A 21,566-nucleotide genomic window follows, 5' to 3' on the forward strand; every position below is an offset into this window, starting at 1 on the left:
ATTCAGTATGATACTAGCTGTGGGTCTGTCATATATAGCTTTTATTATGTTGATGTATGTTCCTTCTATCCCCAGTTTTGCTGAGGGGTTTTACCATGAAGAGATGTTGAATTTTGCCAAATGCTTTTTTAGCATGAATTGAAATGATCATATAGCTTTTATCCTTCATTCTGTTGATAGGATGTATCACATTCATTTATTTGCATATGTTGAATCATCCTTGTATCCCAGGGATAAATCCGACTTGGTCATAATCCACATTATTCAAATGTTATTTGTTTTATCTACTTTAATATCCACCATAGCTCTATATGGTGAGATATATTACTCACATTTCACACAGTTCAGAGAGACTAAGTCATTTTACCCTAGTCTATTTAAAGTCCATTCTGGGGCCCGCTGCCCACTGTGGGGTAGAGAATACTTAAATGGAGAGAGTGGAGGCTGAAGGCCCTGGGCAGCAGAAAGAGGAGAGAGAAGCAGACCTATGGAAAGGAACTGAGCACAAACAACACACCACTGAGCCACATCTGCCCAGGGACTAGCGCCACCACACATCCTCTTTCTGAGGTTTCATTTCTTCTGGGTATTTATTAACACATGCCCTTACTGTCTGGTCTGACCTGAGAATCCTTTAGTCCTTGCAGCTCAAAGAGCTATTTTCCTTAGCTGTGGATTTATGTCTTAAGCAAACTGTTATTACTAAAATGGGGTAAGAGAACAAGAACTGCCTCTTCTGAGCACTGCCAATGTCTCCATGACTCTATGTATGTGTTTCATGGGGTCTTCCTTATCCTACATCAGGTGCTCTGGGCCAAACTGCCTGGAGCCGTAACTCCACCACTTACTGGCACTGTGGCCCCAGGGGAGTTACTTAAACCTCTGTTTTCTCATTGATAAAGTGGAGAAAATAGTACCTACTCCAAAGACTTGTTATTAATTTTAAATGAGTCAATATATGTAAAGGGCTTAGAACAGTGATTACACTTACAAATATTCTACAAAGGTTTACAGAAAAAAGGAATGCAATTTTGTGAATCAAGCATTTTTCTGTTCGGGAATGAGAAATTAATTACCCGAGGTTGAAGAATTAATTATGTTGCATATCAGACTCAGCCCATAGTCTAGTGAGGTAAGTAACATTGATAAGGATCTAATAATTTGAGACATGCCAGTGACATCGGGAAAGTAGACTTTTATTAAGGCTTCCTGTCACCGTGGCTATTGATGCATATCCGTTTCCCTTTGACTTTATTTTACAGGTAATACAAAAATCAAATTCCAGAGCTGCCAATCAACATGTTTATATGCACATCAATTTACTTGCAGAAATGACTGACCTTCATAACACAGATAGGCAAATCATCTGGCACATTTCTATGCTCATTAAAATTTTTATTGTTATTTAGTCTTTCTTGCATTGTGAGAGTTAAATTCCATTACTATTATTCCTTTTCTATACTCCTTTCAGCATAATGTTCTATTAGAAATATTTCTGCTGATTTCCATTTCATCTGCATGGCAGAAAAGCCACAACTTTCTTTTTCTATTTTCCTTAGCTGTGGATTTATGTCTTAAGTAAACTGTTATTACTGAAAGATCCAAACAAAGCTTTTAGCCATGGCTGTCAGGAAACTTTTAAATTGGTTTTGTAACTGTCACAGCTTCACTTTGGTGCTGTCATTATAATTAGGTTGTTTTTTGTCTGAATGTCTACATGTCCCTGTTGGTTCAGAGTTATTAAAATAATCACTTACAATGGATTTTGATACACTATAATCACCATTGCTTAGCTGACTTTCTCCAAAGCAGTAACTTTCAAATATTAAATAAGAATTAAGGTGATAAATATGTGCAGTACCTACATTTAAATATTAAAATCAGTAACTCCAGCTTTAAAGTTAGAGCTAGTGGCATGGCCCACTTCAACTCAATTCACTTCAGCCAGTGCTTGAAACTGGCTATCAGTTTCTTTAATGTAAAAAGGCTGATGACATTACATTTAGATTCATCCTTGTATCTACAGGAAAGTCCAAATTTATACTTTTCAATTTTTTATTTTCTAATAAAAATTAATATAAAGGAAAATGTTAAAGCTGAGTCAGTACCACAAAATATTATATGACTTGAGGTCTTCACAATTGCATTATTTAATATGGATGCATGATCTATCCCTCTACCTATCTATGTAGACAGATGAACACATACATCTCTAGTATATGTGTATGTGAGTACATACATATGTGGATTCACATATGTGTGTGCATATTCTTTTTTATTTATATATTTTAATATAAGGTCCTTCAGACTCCACATACACATTTGATTTTTTAAAGTTTCCTTTAATTGCAATGTCATTTTGGTTTACATTTTTTAAAAGCAGAGGAGTTTTGGATATGTTTTTAGTTTGGCTTTGATCCAAAAATTACTTATCTGTGTATATGACAGCTGGAATTTTCAAAATACAAAGAGTCTATACTAGATTAATCCCCAAGGCAGCATTATCTGTCAGGAATGAGCATTGTTACTCAAAGTGTGGTCCCTGGACCAGCAGCAACCTGGAAGCAATTATTAAGAATGCAGGATCTCAGGCCCCATCCCAGGCCTACTGAATCAGAATCTGTATCTTTAACACGGTTCCCAGGTGATTCGTGAGCATGTTGAATTTTGAGAAGCACTGTTGTAGGGGATACTCCTTAATAGCAGGCTGCACTGGGTGACCTATAAGATTATTTGCAACTTCACAGTTTCATGATTCTAAAAGTCTATAATGACTAGAATAGAATACCACAGATGCTGGCTGGAATGTAATATGTTGGACTACACTAACATAAAAATGGCTGCCAACCTTGTCCCCATACCCCAACTCCATGGTCAAAAATCAACTAAATCTGTTTGGCTTCATAAAAACAAAAGCATGTGTTAGTTTTGCAACCATTTGGAGGCATTATAAAGACATCATTACAGACTCTCATAAAGTTAAGAAATGCAAATGCAGGTGGCCTCCAGGATGTGAAAAAAGCAAGGAAGCCATTTCTTCTCCAGAGTCTCCCAAAGCAATGCAGCCTTGTTGATACCTTGTGTTTAGCCTAAGGAAGTCCATTTTGGACTTCTAACTGCAGAGTTCTAAGAGAATACATGTGTGTGGTTTTAAGTCACTGAATTTGTGGTTATTTGTTACAGCAGCAACAGGAAACTAACACAGCATTGTCAACGATTTTGACAGACACCAGCTCAAACTGTCTTGTATACCAGCTCAAATCACCTTCTATGAAACATGATTGTATAAAAGTGCCCAGGGCTACAAAATGGTACCTGACCATAGGGTTCCACACAAGGTGACTTGCCAACGTGGGGTCTCTGTAACTTTGACAACTACAGATATAAAACTCATAACAGCAACCAACGCTTTCATCTTGCTTTGTGTCCAAAAGTGTAATGAGACAATGAGTCTGGAACAATGGGACTGAGTCCAACCTCAAGCAGAACAACAAGAAAGGTCACTTTTTCCCGCATTGATTCTGAGTCCTGCCATGAAAGCAAACCTCCCAGGAGACTGTGGAAGTCTAAGCCAAACACGGGGAGGGCTTCTCACGCAATTAAAATGGACACCAACAGGATGGATTATTGAAATAAGAGCTACTGTTTTCTGGAGTGCTTGGTTTGTGCCAAGATTCATTCCAAAGATGTTGCTTGCTCATGTAATAACATCTTTAATCCTCAACAACTCTGTGAGGTAGATACTTTTGCATCCCCTTTTACATATGGAGAAACAGGCTCAGAAAGTCTAAGTAGATTTCTAGGCCCACAGAGATAGAAACATCTTAGACATTGTGAGCCCAAACCAGGTAGTCTCTTGCCTTGTATCAGACAGTCAAAATTCATCAGTCAACATTGCTCTATATATTAAAAAAGAGTGACAGCAGCTTCCTCACCAAGTATTTGTGGTTGGATAGAAGGTATAAGTACATGAACCCTAAATCTGAAAGCTGAAGACAATCTGTTTTTCACAGAAAGATTTAAGATTGCCATGGTTTAATGGAATATCAATTTTGAAGACAGGATGAACTGAGTTTAAATCTTGTCTCTGTGCTGGATTTCACCTTTCTGTGACTCAGTTTTCTCACAGAGGAAATGAGTATGATGACATCTACATCTTTTGGCTGTAAAACGAAAATAAATGAGACTTCAGTGTAGAGTCTAGCCTGCAGTGGACACCGTGTGCTCTGTAACTCTCATTATTTCAGTCTTGGAAAGCACTCTAAGGATTTGAAAGTAGAGATGCAGTCAGTTGCTTACAGGGAAGGCCTGAAGGTGTAACATAAGAAATCAGGTGGAAGAGATTAGTAATCTTGAAATGGACCGTGAACATTTATAAACTTTCAAAATGATCTAAAGCTATCTTATCTTTTTTTGTGGTATAAATGCTTAAGTACTTCATAAAAGCTCTTTCTATTAAATTTCTCCAATAATTTTTCCTATGAAACAGTAACTTAAAGATTCTGAAGACTGTAGGCAAAGAGACAAAATAGTGGTCTCAGAGGTTGCAATAAATATAAATTAGGATAATGAATAGTACAGCTCAGAAATGAAATCTGTCTTTAAATTGCTGCTTGAGTGAGTAAAACAACTCAACTTAGTAAAACAAAGTCTCCTCCACTGAATACTGCATCAGCCATGTACTAAAACTTGTGTTTTAATTGGATTTTGAAATAAACTTATTTGGAGAACAATGCAATTACATGATGAAATTCTCAGAAACCATCTTGCATATGAGCCATGAACATAAGAACAAGGACACAATGTAAAAGACCAAATGCATAAAACCTAAAATAAATCTCCCATTTGCAAGTGGGACATCTTTTGCTTCCCTTATTTAGAAGACATCTGGATATTCATTACTTCTACTATCAATGTACACAATTATTCTGTCCAATACAAAGAATTTATATGAAAAAGGTAACACTTATATCAACACTGAAAACATAACCAGTGGATATCCTTAGAGACTGCCTTTCCCATCTGTCTGTTCCTGATGCGTCCTTAGAGAGTCAGGACAGAAGGGAATCCACATGTCCATCTCCACAAAGGTACCAAGAGCCTATGATTTCAGTGGACACCCTGCCAGCTGCCACGCCCTATCAGTGGCTGGCTCTCTTTATTGGAATGGAGAGCCGAGTAAGGGAATCCTGGACAGACCCTTTATCTCTAGGCCATGTGAGTATAGCTTTCACTCTACTCTGTAAGAGTAAGGTTAGATGTGAAATCACAAATCAACAAACACATGTGGATGTTATTTTTTTCAATCACCAGCTCCTCTTGACTTTACAACACAAACTAGATTTTAACAAGAAGGAAAAAGCACCAGTAATGGCTGGTGTGAAAGAAATCACCTCTAAGCAGGATTGATTATGATGCCAAGCCAGTGATTTTCAAATTCCTCTTAGCCTGTGTGAAAAAACCCAGTGGCCTCCAATTGAATTCACCTCCCTGTATCCACACATCCTTGGCAGTATCCTCCACACCAACTCCAGACTCAGCCATGTGACTTATTTTGGTCAGTGAGATGGTAGCAAAGGTGAAGTAAGCAGAGACTTGGAAAATACTTGTGTATTAGAAATTACTCTTGCTGCTCTTGGAACCCCGAGCGACCACATCAACCCTGCAGCCTAGCCTGTTGCATGGTGGCCAGGTGGCCATGGGCCCTGCCATTCTCTTCATTCCAATTAATGGCGAGCCACACCCAAAATCAGAGATGCCAGCTGACGAGTGGCTGACCGCAGAGGCAGGGGTGAGCTCAGCTGTAGTCAGCTGAGATTGGCTCAGACTAGCAGGGCTGTTCAACTGATCCGCAAATTCATGAGCAAGAGTTAGTGTCTGTCCAGGCCATTAAGTTTTAGGATGCCTTGTGGTTTAGCAAAAGCTATTATACCTACCAAGCTGGTTTCCTCTTCCTGGCATATAGCTCATCTACATCACTCAGCTTACTATTACTGAAGTGGAGCAATGTGATTGGTTCTCACAACCAGAACAGAAATGGAAGTGATGCATCACTTTGGATGTGTCACTTTGAGAAAGGGTGTGCCTTCTCGAAAGTCTCCCTCTCTCTTTCCCTCTACAGTGATGTTGGAAACTAGGTACTTTGGATGGAGGCATCAAAAATTCCACTTTCTGCAAACAAAATTTTGCAACGTGTTTACATAGACATGTATGACATGTATGTATGTATATGCCATCTCTGACTGCAGTGGGAGTGCAGCTTGCCCCAGCTGTGGTGTGCTGGAGCTGCAATCACATCTCTCTCCACCTTCATGTTTACTGATGTCATGTTGGTGACTTGAAATTGGCCATGGTGGGAGCATTTACATTATGGAAAGCAGAAAATGCTAACAGTCAGGACTCCTGGACTTCAACTTGATTGTTCACCACCCAGCTCCCCCAGCTCTTATGGCATCTCTGAGTCTGCTGTAGGGTATTTGAAAACTCATACATTGATCATAAATAATAACCCTTGTGGGAAGGGGAGACTATTTTCTGGGCTTTTCTAAGGTGTTTAGCTTTGTTACTCTAGTCTGGGTCATATATATTACATATAGTCCTTTTCTGCTGTTTAGAGACTCCTTATCAATCATAATGCCATGGCAGTCACATAGCTATGATGCCTTACTAAGCACTAGGAGCACACAAAAGCCATTTCTGGGCATTGGGATACTGCCACTAAGACTACAGAGATACAAATATATCAGTTAAAGTAAGAAATATTTAAAACAGAACTTTTCCTATATCCTGCCCAATAAAATCATCTGTCTTGAATTGATTTAAAACATGGGAAATTTTCTTTATGAAAGCTTCAATTTAGGACAACATGTATTTCCTAGAGTACAATGCCATAATGGATATTCACAATTTAAACTATCTTATAGAACACTACTTAAAATCTCCTGGTTTCCTCACACTTTGTGGCCTACATTTATGGATTAGTAGGAGAAAGGAAAAGTAAATGATGACATGTACAAAAACCTTTCAATTAACTAACCTATAATTTATGGATTAAGAACTCAATACCCCTGCATGACTTCATTATTGACTTGGAAGAAAAATTAAGAATAAACATGCTAAAATCTTGGCTTTTCAACAATGAAGTGTTCACTTTGCTTACTTGGCTGGACATGGGTAAGAAAAATAAAAAATATTAGTTATTCCGCAACACTTTTCTTTCATGTTCCTTGGTGTCCAGAAAGAGTAGAAAAAGCTCATATATATATATATATATATATATATATATTTTAGCCTGGTGTTCCTAAGCTTCAGTACTCAGTTCCTGCAAGGCTGGATTCATAGTAGATTCAACAATAATTTTTGATATAACTTAATTTCCTCCATGTACTCAATTGGCCATGGAGCATCTTCTGCCTCCTTCTGAGGAAAGTAGCCTCGGGGGTGAAACATTTCTCTATCTCCTGTATTAAATGAAAGTAATGTTGGTACTGTTGACATAGTTAACTGGACCATGAGCCAGGCTTCAGAAAGGCAGTTTCCCCTGAGGTGTCTTAGCAAGGACTCCTAAAAGAGGGATGCTGTAACCTAGATGGTGGTCCCAAGACCCTTTCATCCCCTTCCCTATCTTTGGCATGTATTAATACAAAGTGAGTAAAACAAATTAGGACACTAGAGTTCAAGCAATACAATCTTGTTGCTTCAAGTAATATGATCTCCTATTCCAGGAAGCCACACCATTCTGCTTTGGGCACAAGAAGACCCAGGGTGATGGTCAACAAAGGAGGCCTCACTATACATGTTCCAGCAGTAAGTCTCAGCCTGTGGCAGTCACCAGGGCTGTCCCTTCTTCATGACCCTCTGATTCTGACATACACTCAAGTGTCAGTGAAATACTAGAGTAAAAATTAAGAATGAAAATGCTAAAATCTTGGCTTTTCAACGGTGAAGTGTTGACCTTGCTTACTTGGCTGGACATAGGTAATAATAAAAATAAGAATATTAGTCCTTCCACAATAATTTTCTCTCATGTTCCCTGGTGTCTAGAAAGAGTAGAAAAATCCAACCATTATTTTTTTTAGCCTGATGTTCCTAGACTTCAGTACTGAGTTCCTAAAAGGATGGACGCATTAGATTAAACAATTTGAATATACATGATGTTTTATATTTTTCTCACTAGTACTCCGCCAACCACATAGTTACTGAATAATCTCAACAGACTTTGACAAAAGGTGCTTTCTTAGTTACCTGTATTGTTGTGAGTTTTTCTTTATCTTTGTCTTCATGGGTAAGTTAGTGAGAAGTCAGGAAGGACTACAATAGGGCTGCTAGACAGGTGACACGACGCCATGATGGTTTTGAGATGTCATTGACATTCCCACAGCTAATTAAATTCCTACATCTAGAATCACTTCAAATTGACTTTTATGTTCATCTTTTATTTTTAGTATTAAACGGTGGGCAGTTGAACACAAAACTTTTGTTTTAAACTCAAGAGACAAATTATGAATTCAAAATTGAAGCTAGCTGTCCTTTCTAATACACTGCATTTCTAATGCAATGCAGGACCTCACTTGTGATATTTAATAAATGCATACATAAATAAAATAATTTTGAGCTATGTAGAATCTTTAAGGAAAGACTCATTTTGAAATATTTAGAGTATTTAGGAAAAACATTAAAACAAATGCGAAGGACTGAACTGCCTGATACACAAAGTGACTTACATTTTAGATTATGTCTAAACCTGTCAGCAGCTTTAGAGTGCATAAGGCATCATATTGCTGCTCCAAACCCTTCTACTGCAGATTGTGTTGAACACTGAGAAAATACACAGCACTTTCAAACCCTGGGTTTAAGTCTTAAAGAAGGCTGTGTATTTAACCTGGAGATCAAGACTTGCAAAACCAAACCAAACGAACAAACAGAAAAACTCATCCTTCATTTTTGCCAAAGGTGACAATGCAACAAATCTTTGGTGATGGAAATTTGTCTCCAATGGACATTTTAAAAATGCTTGGCATAAGTTAGCACATGTCTCCTAATTAATATAATTGTAAACATTCAAGAGTTATAGGACTGATTCAAACTGGAGGATGAAAATATAATAGGAGACAGGAATTTAGTTTGAGATAATGTGGCATGCAAATAATTTTAAAATGTTCTGCATATTTCTTCCAGTGAGGTTTAAAAATCAAAGAAGCAAAACTGTTTAATTGCCAGTAAGACAGATAAACAAATAAATAAAAATAACACTGATATTTTAATCTTATTTTTTATTATCCTATGCCTGGTCATCTGGTGTCTATTCTAAATATAATTATTATTTGAAATATAATCAGGATATATTAGATACATATTGAATATATATTTAAATAAATATATATGGGATATTTAGAACTGAGGATTTATACAATTGGCCTCTCTGTTTAGTTTATTTGGCCACTGACTTCAAAATTACAATAGGCCTTTTTCAAGTAGCATTTTAGCTACCCCTTTCTACATGTAGCTATTTTATTTTTCCTGGTTTTAATATTTATTCCAGGTAATTACTGCATAACCATTTTTATATTCACTTTTTCCTACAAACTTTTCCTCCAAGCAGTTGTTTTATATTCCCCTGAGAAATTGAAAATGAATGTGTGTGCGCCTGTGTGTGAGTGTATGTGTGTGTGTGAGGTATGTGCGTGTGTATGTGTGAGCATGCATGATTATGTACAAGTGTGTTTGTGCATGTGTGTGTGCATGTGTGCATAAGCATGTAAATGTCTGTGTGTCACTGTGTCACTGAGTATGCGTGAGGTGTGTGTGTGTATAAGCGTGTGTATGCATGTCTGTGTGCATGCATGTGTGTGTGTGTCAGTGTGTCACCGTTTGTGAGTGTGCATTGTGAGGTGTGTGTGAGCATGCACGTGTGTGTAGCCATATGCATGTGTGCATATGTGTGTGCGTGTGATTGTGTGTCACTGTGTGTATGTACGTGTGAAGTGTGTGTGCATGAGCATGTGCGTGTAGATATGTGTGTGTGCCTGTGTGCATGTGTGTGTCTGCGATTGTGTGTCACTGTGTGTGTATGTACATGTGAGTTGTGTGAGCGTGCATGAGCATGTATAAGTGTGTAGGCATGTGTATGTGCACGAGTGTGCATGTGTGTGTCTGTGTCACTGTGTGTGTTTGAGGTGTGTGTGCGTGTGAGCATGTGTGAGCCTGTATGAGTGTGTGTGTGTACACATGCATGCTGTGTTTTTGACTGTGTGTCTCTGCATGCATGTGTGAGCCTGTATGAGTGTGTATGTGTGTGTACACATGCATGCTGTGTTTTTGACTGTGTGTCTCTGTTTGCGTGCATGCGTGAGCATTTGGGGGAAGTATCGTTTGACACCTGCCTAAGGGGAGAGTAAGAATTTGGGTCTGCTGTGTGTGAGGCTATGTTTTCTGCACGTGAACGCAGCTGGATATGTACAATCACGTATAATTCAGAAAATTTTTGGCAAATGCCTATCGTGAATGAAGCAATAGAGAAGAAAGAGAAACAAAAAAGAAAATGACCAAATATAATCAAGGAATCAGAGATCACTCTGTTGAGGAAGCACTGACCTGATTTTGAGGGCAGGAATATGAAGATGGAGTGGAGAGAATGAGTCAAAAAATATCAAAATACTGAAGTAATGACAGAATTGAAGAAGGATCAGATTGAATTTGGAGAGGACAAAAGGAGAAGCATAATGGGTTGGTTTGGAGGTTTCTGGAAATGCAGGGAAAACCTAGTTTCTTTGTGGGAATGGGCTGGGGAGAGAGCTGCGTTCTGGAGGGAACCTACATTCTCATGGGCTCCATCAATTCTTGAAATGATCTGCCAGTTTGTGGGAAGGTTCACGAAGAAGACAGTTTCAGGAGTGCCTAGGATGTCACTTTGTCACTTGAAATGCTCACATCACACAGGCCACCTCCCCTCAATCTTAGCCTTCAATGGAAATGTTTTCAAAGAGCATTAAAACACTGAAGGAATAATTTCGCCACCGTTTGACCTACTTTCAGCAAGCACCTGTTACCTCCCTCTGTTCCTCACAGGAGGCACGCGGTGGAATATGCTACCAGAGGGAAACTGACATCCATTGTACCACGTCTCATGCATATGTACTTTCATTCTCTTGTCAGAGACTTTCCTCATGGTAATAGAGCACGGGGGTGTGTTGGAAGATGGTTCAAAAGTGTGCAGCCACATCTGTCAAAGTGTCAAGAGATGAAAACTCCTACCTGAGCAGCAGCGGGAAAACGGCTTGTCACAGCAGCCGCTGAGGAATGAGGGTCCAATTGAATAGACTTCTATTTATCAAGCACTGGAGTGACCCTTCCCACAGCTATGGCTTATGCTAAAATAGTATTTAAACAGCTATATACCTGCTTGGTTTGGTGCTAAAAGAGTCAATTATAACTTTTCACCTTTCTAAGACTCACACTTAAGCACACAACGAAGCAACTTTCTAATCGGTTTCTTTAATACCACATAAAAGAATTGCCTTATTGACTAAACATGGGAGAGATGAAAAAGGCACATGTGTCAAGCATTTAATATTTTAGATTTGTCTTTATATCTAATATCTTAAATTTTTATTTAGAAAGAAACAATATACCCTTTAGAAACACTCAGAATTCCTGAACATCACTTAGAAAAATCAACAGATAAATGGGCAAATGAGATAAACAAGCAATCTACAGTCAGGAGATCGAGACCATCCTGGCTAACACAGTGAAACCCCGTCTCTTCTAAAAATACAAAAAATTAGCCGGGCGTGGTGGCAGGCACCTGTAGACCCAGCAACTCGGGAGGCTGGGGCAGGAGAATGGCGTGAACCCAGGAGGCGGAGCTTTCAGTGAGCCAAGATCACGCCACCGCACTCCAGCCTGGGCGACAGAGCAAGACTCCATCTCAAAAAAAAAAAAAAAAAAAAAAAGAAAATGTGTGGCCCTTGAACCTAAAAATGTTCAACATCCATTAATCAGGGAGATCAGGGAGATGCAAATTTACATTACAGGACACCATTTCGTGTCATCTGGTGTAAAAGCCTGATAACATCAAGTGCAGATGAAGATGTAGACAACGAGCACCCTTACACGTTTCTAGAAGGCATACAAAATAGCCCTATCATCCGGAGAGCCATCTGCCATATCTCAGAGAGTCAAAGGTGCTCATATCCTTTAACCCAGAAATTGCTGTCCTAGCTATATATGTTAGAACACCTCTCTCACGTGTGCATACAAAGGCACGGATAAGAAAGGTCTTAGAAGGTCTGCAATAGCAAAACAATCAAGCTCAATGTCCATCGATAGTGGAATGAATAAATGAATGAAGAAACTGGGTTATTTTCACAGTAGGGTAATACACAGGGGTGAAAATGAAGTAGTTAAAAGTATAACGTGGACTGCCTGAGATGAAATCCCCATTCAGTAACTATGTGACCTTCATCAAATTCCTTATGCTGTCTGTGCCTCAACCTCCTCTTTTGTAAAACAGATCGTATTAGTACCTACCTTTATGGTGCTGTGAGCATTAAATAATTTAATACCTAATAAAACACACAGTGAGTGGTCCATAAATATTAGCTATTATTATTTCTGACAGACACATAGGTATTTTTTATCTGTGTTTCTAAATTATTTCAGAATATGTATTTTTTAAATGCAAGGAAATCGACTTAATATTATGTTGTAAAATAGCACCAATTTACAAATTGTCCATTTGTAAGTTTATAGTAACTACGTGGTGTTTCTCTAAAGAAACTATCTTATACAGCATGATTTGAGCTTCAGGTGAGACTGTAATAGCCTATTTTTTTAGCTCTTAATAAACTTCTCAAGTCCTATAAGATTTAGAAGTTTGACAGGAAAAATGATCCCTGAGTTGTAAGTACTGCAGTCAAGTCTCACCACTTAGTATGGCCAAAGAGTTGTGTCCTCTCTCCTCCCATTCCATGAAGCTAAGGAGGGTGGTTGAGTAGTGGTTCCAGCAGAGATGGGGCAAGGCTTTCAGAGAGGATTAAAAAGGGCGGTTTCAAACGACTTTGGGTTTGCTCTGCAGGGAAATCCAATACTTGGCTTCAGCAGACCTGCTCTTTCCTTCCATTTGCACTCTCCTGACCTGCTGCTCCCGGCCACGCCTCCTGTTTCTGATGCCCCCACGCAACTTCATTTTTTCCCAGTGCACCTTCACCTTTGGGTGTTTTCTGGGGAGTCTCGTTAGGGCTTTTGATTGGGAGGTCATTACACCCAGTCACAATCAGCCATACTTGGGTAATATGCAAGGAGAGAAACAAACCAAAACAAAACAGAATAAAGCCAGTGTTCAAGGTGAGAAAACAGAGGCAGGCTCACAGACAGAAATCATGTGGCTCAAACGGAGAGTGAGAGACAGGCAGAGAAAGGCCGAATGACACTTGCAATCAATGTTCCCTTTGAGCAGATGGTCTGTTCCTTCCAAATAATTCTTTACTAAGTCATAAATACTCAATAATTCTCTCAAACCCAGGAAAACTGCATTCTCATCCCCATTTTCCATAAACGTGTCCTGTCGCGTACCACTGGTAGGTAGTGTAGCTGAAATATGTTTCCAGAGTCTTATCTCTAACAGACCACAATAGCGTGTAGTCTCAAAACAAGATGTTGTGTTGGGTGTCTATGCATCAGGTGAAGATAAGGAGATCTGTAGCTGGGGAGGAAGAAGGGAGAGGTGAGGAGGTCATGTTGGGAGATGCGCATTTAGGCAGTTGTAGCACAAAAAGGAAAAGAAACCAGGTATGGGGCTTGGCTTATCTATGTTCCTAGGCTTTTCTTTTTCACCACGAGTCATCTTGTCCCCACAGTATGGACCAAAAACAGGAAAAGGCAGGCAGATCACGAGGTCAGAAGATCGAGATCATCCTGGCCAACGTGGTGAAACCCCGTCTCTACTAAAATACAAAAAATTAGCTGGGCATGGTGGCGGGCGCCTGTAGTCTCAGCTACTCAGGAGGCTGAGGCAGGAGAATCGCTTGAACCTGGGAGGTAGAGGTTGCAGTGAGCCGAGATCGCACCAATGCACTCCAGCCTGATGACAGAGCGAGACTCCTTCTCAAAAAAAAAAAAAAAAAAAAAAAAAAAAAAGGAACAGGCACGAGGGGCCCCTAAGTGACAAGCACATCAGCAATGCACAGAGATGAGAAAGAGCCAGAAAGACATTGCAGGCATGACAGAGGATGGGAGGGGGTTTTTCAGGGGTTCTAGGACATTCGCTTACTCGTTTTAACGTGAGGATAAATTTATTAGGAATTGCACACATTTACCATGCTCAGTATCTTATTAAACTCAGCCTTATTAAGCATGGTATAAATTTCATTAATAACTGGATAAACATGAGAAATGTCCTAGACAAATTAATATAATTAAGTTGATTAACAAAAAATTTTAACAAGTGGCGTTAAAGAGCTCACCACATATAACTTACCAAGCTAACAATACCTTTCTGCTAGTCCTCCTGCTCCAAACTTGTGGTCTTGCAGTTAAATTTACAAGTATGTGCATTTTCATTTATTATAAAAACAGAAAGATCACTTCAAGGGCACCAGATTGAATCGTTTCCTTGCATGCCTGCATATGGTTCCTATTCTAATTATAATTATAGCTATGATTGTAATTGTAATTTGTGTTTCAGAACACAAAATAAATTTGTGGTTTCAAACTGCAGACAAAAGATGCCTATATTCTCCTCCACAAATGGCTCAATAGAGCCTATTTTTTCTGTAGAAGAGTAAGAAGATCTTTTATGTGCCCTAATTCATTGACTATCTCCATAAGCAATATTTGAAAAGAGGAAACAAATACCATAATAATGGAAATATTTGATATAAGGTAAAATATGTATGTGCACATGTGGGAATGTAGGAAAACAATTTAAAATTAGTTGCTAATGTGTGATCAGAATCACTGCCCATTGAAATATATAAAATCCTAATAGTTTTATGCCAGCAATGTTTCTATATATATGTATATACACATATACATATACACACATATGCACTTATATATGTATATATAAAAACGTGTGTATATATATGTTTGTGTATATATACACACACATAGAGAGAGAGGGAGAAAGAGAGAATAAATTATTACTCGTAAAAAACTCAGCATCACAGAAGCATTGGTTACTTCATGTATTTAATTTAATAATGGTGAGGAAAATTAAGCCACCTTAATCAATCTTGTTTTATTAAATTACCTAATTACTTATAGTAACTGGATGAGGATACAGAGTAGAAAATATGGTGAAAAGTATAATACATAATACCAATGGAGACAGTTTTGATTTTTTAGTACATTTCATTTATAAGAGAACTTGAGCCAGCTTCCAATTATGCTGAGTTATGATTTTAACATTTTAAAATGTTAAAAACATAAAATATATGAAAATACTATTTTGGAATCACTGAAATGTGTGGACTAATTGTTATTATATAATCTTTGTGATCTAAAGTTACATTATTTTCATTTATTCCGTGAGTCACCCAACCAAGTGCCTCCTGAGACCTAGCAAGTAACATAATGAGAAAACTAGGCTTAGGGTTACATATTTAACACATCGGAATAACTTTTTTCTTAAAATACTAGGTTCATTTCTCATTGTTTTCTGTAATCACAGGGTGCTTTTAAAATGCCTTGTATTTATTCTTTATTCATTCATCCATGCATTTGTGTATCTTTATACATTTATATATTTATGAATTTATTACTTGTTTATTTATTTCCACACGATAGAGTCACGGACAAAGAGAAATCTTTCTCTACTCTTAGAAAAATAAATGTATGAATTCTTGGGTAGGTAAAACACTCACCTCCAGTGCTGTGGAGACAATATGGAGAGTTGGGAAACTGAGGCACAATAAAGCCTCTCTGCCTCTGCTCATGTGGCAGCCACCACTCAGCTCTGGCCAACTCTAGCCAGGTGGAAATGAGAGCTCTTTATTGCCAGATCATTCTCTTTTACAAGATGGGTAGGACGTGTGGGTTTTTATGTAAAATACTCTGGTTTTTAAACTTTGGGTCAAATTTAAAAACAAAGTCCCACTTTGAACAAAATCAACAGTTCCCAGTAGTTAAATGGGAACTCAAACATCAGTTTGCTGTCTCTCAGATATTATTGATACCTCATTTTTTCTAATTTATTTCAACAGTTTCAAAATTACAAAGTACAGCCGTTCAAATGTTTCATTCCAATAAACTCTGTTTTCTCATTAACATACAATTAGTTTGGGTTCAGCTGGGCACAGTGGCTCACACCTGTAATCCCAGCACTTTGGGAGGCCGAGGTGGGCGGATCATGAGGTCAGGAGTTCAAGACCAGCCTGACCAACATGGTGAAACCCGGTTTCTACTAAAAATACAAAAATCAGCCAGGCGTGGTGGCGCATGCCTGTAGTCCCAGCTACTCTGGAGGCTGAGGCAGGAGAATCACTTGAACCTGGGAGGCGGAGGTTGCAATGAGCCAAGATTGTGCCACTGGATTCCAGCCTGGGCAGGAGAGTGAGACTCTGTCTCAAAAAAAAAAAAAAAAAAAAAAAAGAATGAGTTTGGGTTCTTTTCAATGATGCTATTCCTAACACTATATTTCTAAACATAAGACAAATTTATCTTATATGCTTACAAGATGAAAAGAGTTCTGAAAGAGGTGAAACATAACAGAAGTCAGGGTTATGTCCTGCCAAGGCTCTGCCACCACATATTAGAGGAGACATCCTGGCAAAACTATCCAGAGATATCCAAAGTCCTACAACCTCTGCGAGGCACTTTCTGGAAGCAAACTCCAAGTGTACTGCTTGCTTTAGACTCCAACGACATGCATATAGAAATAAGTGTTCTGTATGGAAAAGGGTGTTATTGCCACAGTCTATTCAATTTCTAGTTCTTACAGACAAGACCAGGAGGACAAACAGAGCAGCTTCTAAGCGAGAGGTCAAATAAGTACTTTCATAAGCCAAGAAGGTACTGCCTCCTTCTTTCACTGGACTGTTCTCGGTTAATAAACATAATTGATCATCTCTCATGTCTAAAGCACAGTTGCAGAAGTGACCATGACTGGTATGGTCTCTAAAGTAATGGAATTTCCCCTGGTTGGAGAAGCAGACATCAACAACTAATTATATCCTTAATTTATTTTATTAAAATTATGACAGACATAAAAGAAAAGTGTAGGATGATATGAAAACATGTAACAGAGGTACCTGGCTTATTTTTTGAGGATAAGAAAGTGATGTTTGAGCTGAGTTCTGAAGGATGAGTGAGAAGGAAGTGGTGTAGGAAGAGGAAACATTCTGTGAAAATGTCAGTGCTTCCTGGAGGCAGAAATGCTTTTTCATGTGAGATAAAATGCATAAATGCAGGAGTCTGAGAAGAATCGACTCAACATTAACCTCCAAGTTACTCATTGGAAGAAGAATGAGGAAGGATACATTGAAAGAAGATTTCAAGTAAACTCTTCCTTTTAATTTTATTTCCATATTAATTTTTTATGAGAACATGTTCACATTTTGCTTGTTTTAAAAATAAAAAGGGCCGGGCGCGGTGGCTCACGCCTGTAATCCCAGCACTTTGGGAGGCCGAGGCGGGCGGATCACGAGGTCAGGAGATCGAGACCATCCCGGCTAAAACGGTGAAACCCCGTCTCTACTAAAAATACAAAAAAATTAGCCGGGCGTAGTGGCGGGCGCCTGTAGTCCCAGCTACTTGGGAGGCTGAGGCAGGAGAATGGCGTGAACCCGGGAGGCGGAGCTTGCAGTGAGCCGAGATCCCGCCACTGCACTCCAGCCTGGGCGACAGAGCGAGACTCCGTCTCAAAAAATAAATAAATAAATAAAATAAATAAATAAATAAATAAATAAATAAATAAATAAATAAAAAGAAGTGGTATATGCTCCTGTTCAGCCTTGAGGGTAAGATACCATGGTAGTCCAAGCCAGGGAGTGGAAGACTGAGATGAAAGTTTTCCTGTTACCCAGTTTTAGATGGCATTAATCATTAGTGAAAGCCATCAAGTATTTCAGGACCATTTTATCTTCAATATATTTTTACTTAATTCTTTTCTTTTAATTAATTAATTATTTTCTTGCTGAGACATAGAAATGTATTCTCTCTCTAATCACAGCTCCTGCCCGGTACAAACAGATAACTTCTTGGCCATCCCACTTTTCTTCCATGCACTCTTCATTGCTGCCTCTGGAAAGCTTTATTCAGGGCCAAACACATGAAGTTGAGTGGAATGAAACTTGTGTCACACTGAATTACCTGACCCCTTTCCCCCCAGTTTCTAAGCATATGAGTCACATTCATAAGATGTCATAAGCATGCTGCTATATTCATAACACATATCTCATATAGGGGTCTCTGAGATGCCACATCTATACACTTCAAGCCCAACATCTATCCCCACACCATTCCAATCTTTATTTTACTATCTCCTTGCTCGATTTTGTCATCACACTTCACCCTGTCATTAATCCCTTGTTATTCTCAAATCTTTGTGATAAGGAGGCTGACTTGCCTCCTAATTTCAGATGGCCACCTTGAGGCATCTATTAACAAGGATTTAATAGATTTTAAAGCTCTGGATACCATACGACTCTGATTTGGCACTCAGAGTAGCCCTGATAGTTTATTTCTCTATCACGAACTTATGATTACTTGCATATTTTTTTCAGCTGGATAAAGCATGGGGCTAGGAGCCATAAGACCCAGCCATTAGTCCTGGGTTCTCCCTCTGGTTGAATGTAATTCACATCCCTATGTTCTCTGAATCAGCACTTTCTCCTATAAATGGCTGACCAGGCATGTAGGTCTTTCTACATCACAGGGTTGTAGTAAACCTCATCCTTAGTCATTCTTTTCCTCATTCTCTCTCTCTCTTTTTTTTTTTTTTTTGAGACAGAGTCTCACTCTGTTGCCCAGGCTACATTGCAGTGGCACAATCTCAGCTCACTGCAACCTCCACCTCCCGGGTTCAAGTGATTCTTGTGCCTTAGCCTCCCAAGTAGCTGGGATTACAGGCGTGCACCACAACACCTGGGTAATATTTGGATTTTTAGTAGAGATGGGGTTTCACCATGTTGGCCAGGCTGGTCTCAAACTCATGACCTCAGGTGATCTGCCTGCCTCAGCCTCCCAAAATGCTGGAATTACTCAAGGTTTTGATTTTAAGATTATGCACTAAAACCTTCCCTGACCTCTCAAAGCGGACCCCAATTTATATATTCTCATTGCATCTTGCATTACTTCTTTCAAAACCCACATCACTCTTGTGATTGCTAGCTCAATGCTGCCTTTTTCCCTCCCACTCTCAAGCATACTGTAAGCTCTATGAGTGTGGAGACTGTGCATGTTTCTTTCAAGACTATCTTAGTGTCTAGCACATAGTTGGTACTCAGTAAATATCAGTTGATGGATTAAAAAATAATGTCAATAAAAGTGCTTTTTAGGTAAGAAGCTAGTACTATAATCTTTGTCATTATTGTTATTACTATTAGTAGTGATAGTAGGAGTAAAGGTAGTTGTAGTAGTTTTATATTAGCAGCATAGTCAACATCAAATATAGGATGGAAGGAGGACCACAAAATAATACTTATCAATATTCATTGTAAGCTTTTCTACTTATTGCCCTCCATTTTTTTAAACTGACAGAAATAAATAACTAACAATAAACAAAATGAAAAGGCAGTCTATGGAACAGGGGAAAATTGGAACACCATATTTCTGAAAAGGAGATAATATTCAAAAGATGCAAAGAACTCATACAACTCAATAACAAAAAGCCCCCAAACTAAAAAACAAAAACAAACACAAAATGCAAATAATCTGATTATAAATGAGCAAATTCTGAGTAGATTTTTTTCCAAAGAAGACATATGAATGGCCAATAGGTATATGAAAAAGTGCATACGATCCCTAATTATCAGGGAAATACAAATTTAAACCACATTGAGATATCACCTCATATCTGTTACAATGGTCACCATCAAAAAGACAAAAGATAACTATTTGGCAAAGGCATAAAGAAAAGATAACCCTTTTACACTGTTGGTGGGGATTTAAATTGGTAGAGCCATTCTGAAACGCAGTATGGAGGTTTCCCAAAAAATTAAAAATAGAACTACCATATGATCCCACAATCCCACTTCTGGATATATGCCCAAAGGAAATGAAATCAGTATCTCAAAGAGACATCTGCAGCCCCGTGTTTACTGCAGCGTTATTCACAATGGTCAAGACAGGGAACAACCTAAGTGTCTACTGATGGATGAATGGATAAAAAAAATGTGGTATAGACATACAATGAAATATTACTCAGCCATAATAAAGAAAAAAATCCTGCCATTGACAACTATATGGATAAGCCTGGAGGACGTTATGCTAAGTGAAATGAACTAGACACAGAAAGACAAACACCGCATAATCTCATTTATATATGGAATCTCAAAAAGTCAAATTCATTGAAGCAGAGAGTAGGATTGTGGTTACCAGGGGCTGGGGACAGGGGGTAGAAATGGGGAGATATTAGTTATCAGTCAAAAGATGGCCAAGTTCTCAGGATCTAATAAACAAAGTGATTCATTAATGGTTAATAATACTGTATTGTATACATGAGATTTGCTAGGAGATTAGATCTTAAGTGTTACCCCCCACCCCACACACACAGAGGTAACTACTGAATATATGCGGTGATGGGTGTGTTAATTAGCTTGGTTGCAACAATCGTTTTACACTGTGTACATATATCAAATCATCACATTGTATACCTTAAGTATTTACAATTTTATTTGTTAATCACACCTCAATACAAATAGAAACAAAAAGAAGTAAATAACTCTATGGTAAAATGGCCATATAAACATAGCCCACAGTAATGGCTCAGAGTACAATTTTATTTTTCATGTACCCATCCTTGAGTTGCATAAGAAGTCCCTATCTGGAGAAAGACCCAAAAGAAAGAAAAGAGATACAGTCTCATCCCACGGCAGATGTGAACACTTCTCCAAATTATGAGGGCAGGATATAAACAACTATGGAAACCACCCCTTGCGAGAAGAGGATTTGTCACTGAAAACCAAAAAGGCTAAAGAAAATAAAATTCTCCAGGTGGAAGAATCAATTCTCCGGTCCTACGAGTGGGCTGCTTGGAGGGAAAATGAAAGTGAAAATATTATGGAAAGTTAGGGGTGCTGCTCTTGGTAAGGTGACATTATTTTGAATGAGTTACTGATATTTAGGGGGCAAGGAGGGGAAACCAAGGAAGAGAAGATGTCAGTATGGCCCCCTGAAGAAGAGATAAAGGAGTTTATTGGGCCTTATTGTTATTATTGTTATCCATATTGTTGTCAATGGCAGCTTGGAGAAGATGGTTTTTCCAGAAAGTTCACAGGCAGGGACGTGAGACTCCATCTTCTAATCACTGTGAGAATCTATCTCATGAGGACTCTCAGGCCCCACCTGCAATCCTTATGTTTGCTATCAGTGCACTTTGCTAAAGAAACACCTCTACATTATGTTCC

The 21,566-nt window shown here is 38.6% G+C and overlaps 1 protein-coding gene across 10 annotated transcripts in view; it reads right to left on the bottom strand.

Annotated features, from left to right (window-relative positions):
• Nucleotides 1-21,566, bottom strand: part of NALCN (sodium leak channel, non-selective) — a 363,404-nt gene that overhangs the window by 208,181 nt on the left and 133,657 nt on the right. The gene's annotated exons all lie outside the window — the stretch shown is intronic.

Source organism: Homo sapiens, chromosome 13, assembly GCF_000001405.40.
Source record: "Homo sapiens chromosome 13, GRCh38.p14 Primary Assembly".
In the NCBI taxonomy this organism is placed as follows: Eukaryota; Metazoa; Chordata; class Mammalia; order Primates; family Hominidae; genus Homo; species Homo sapiens.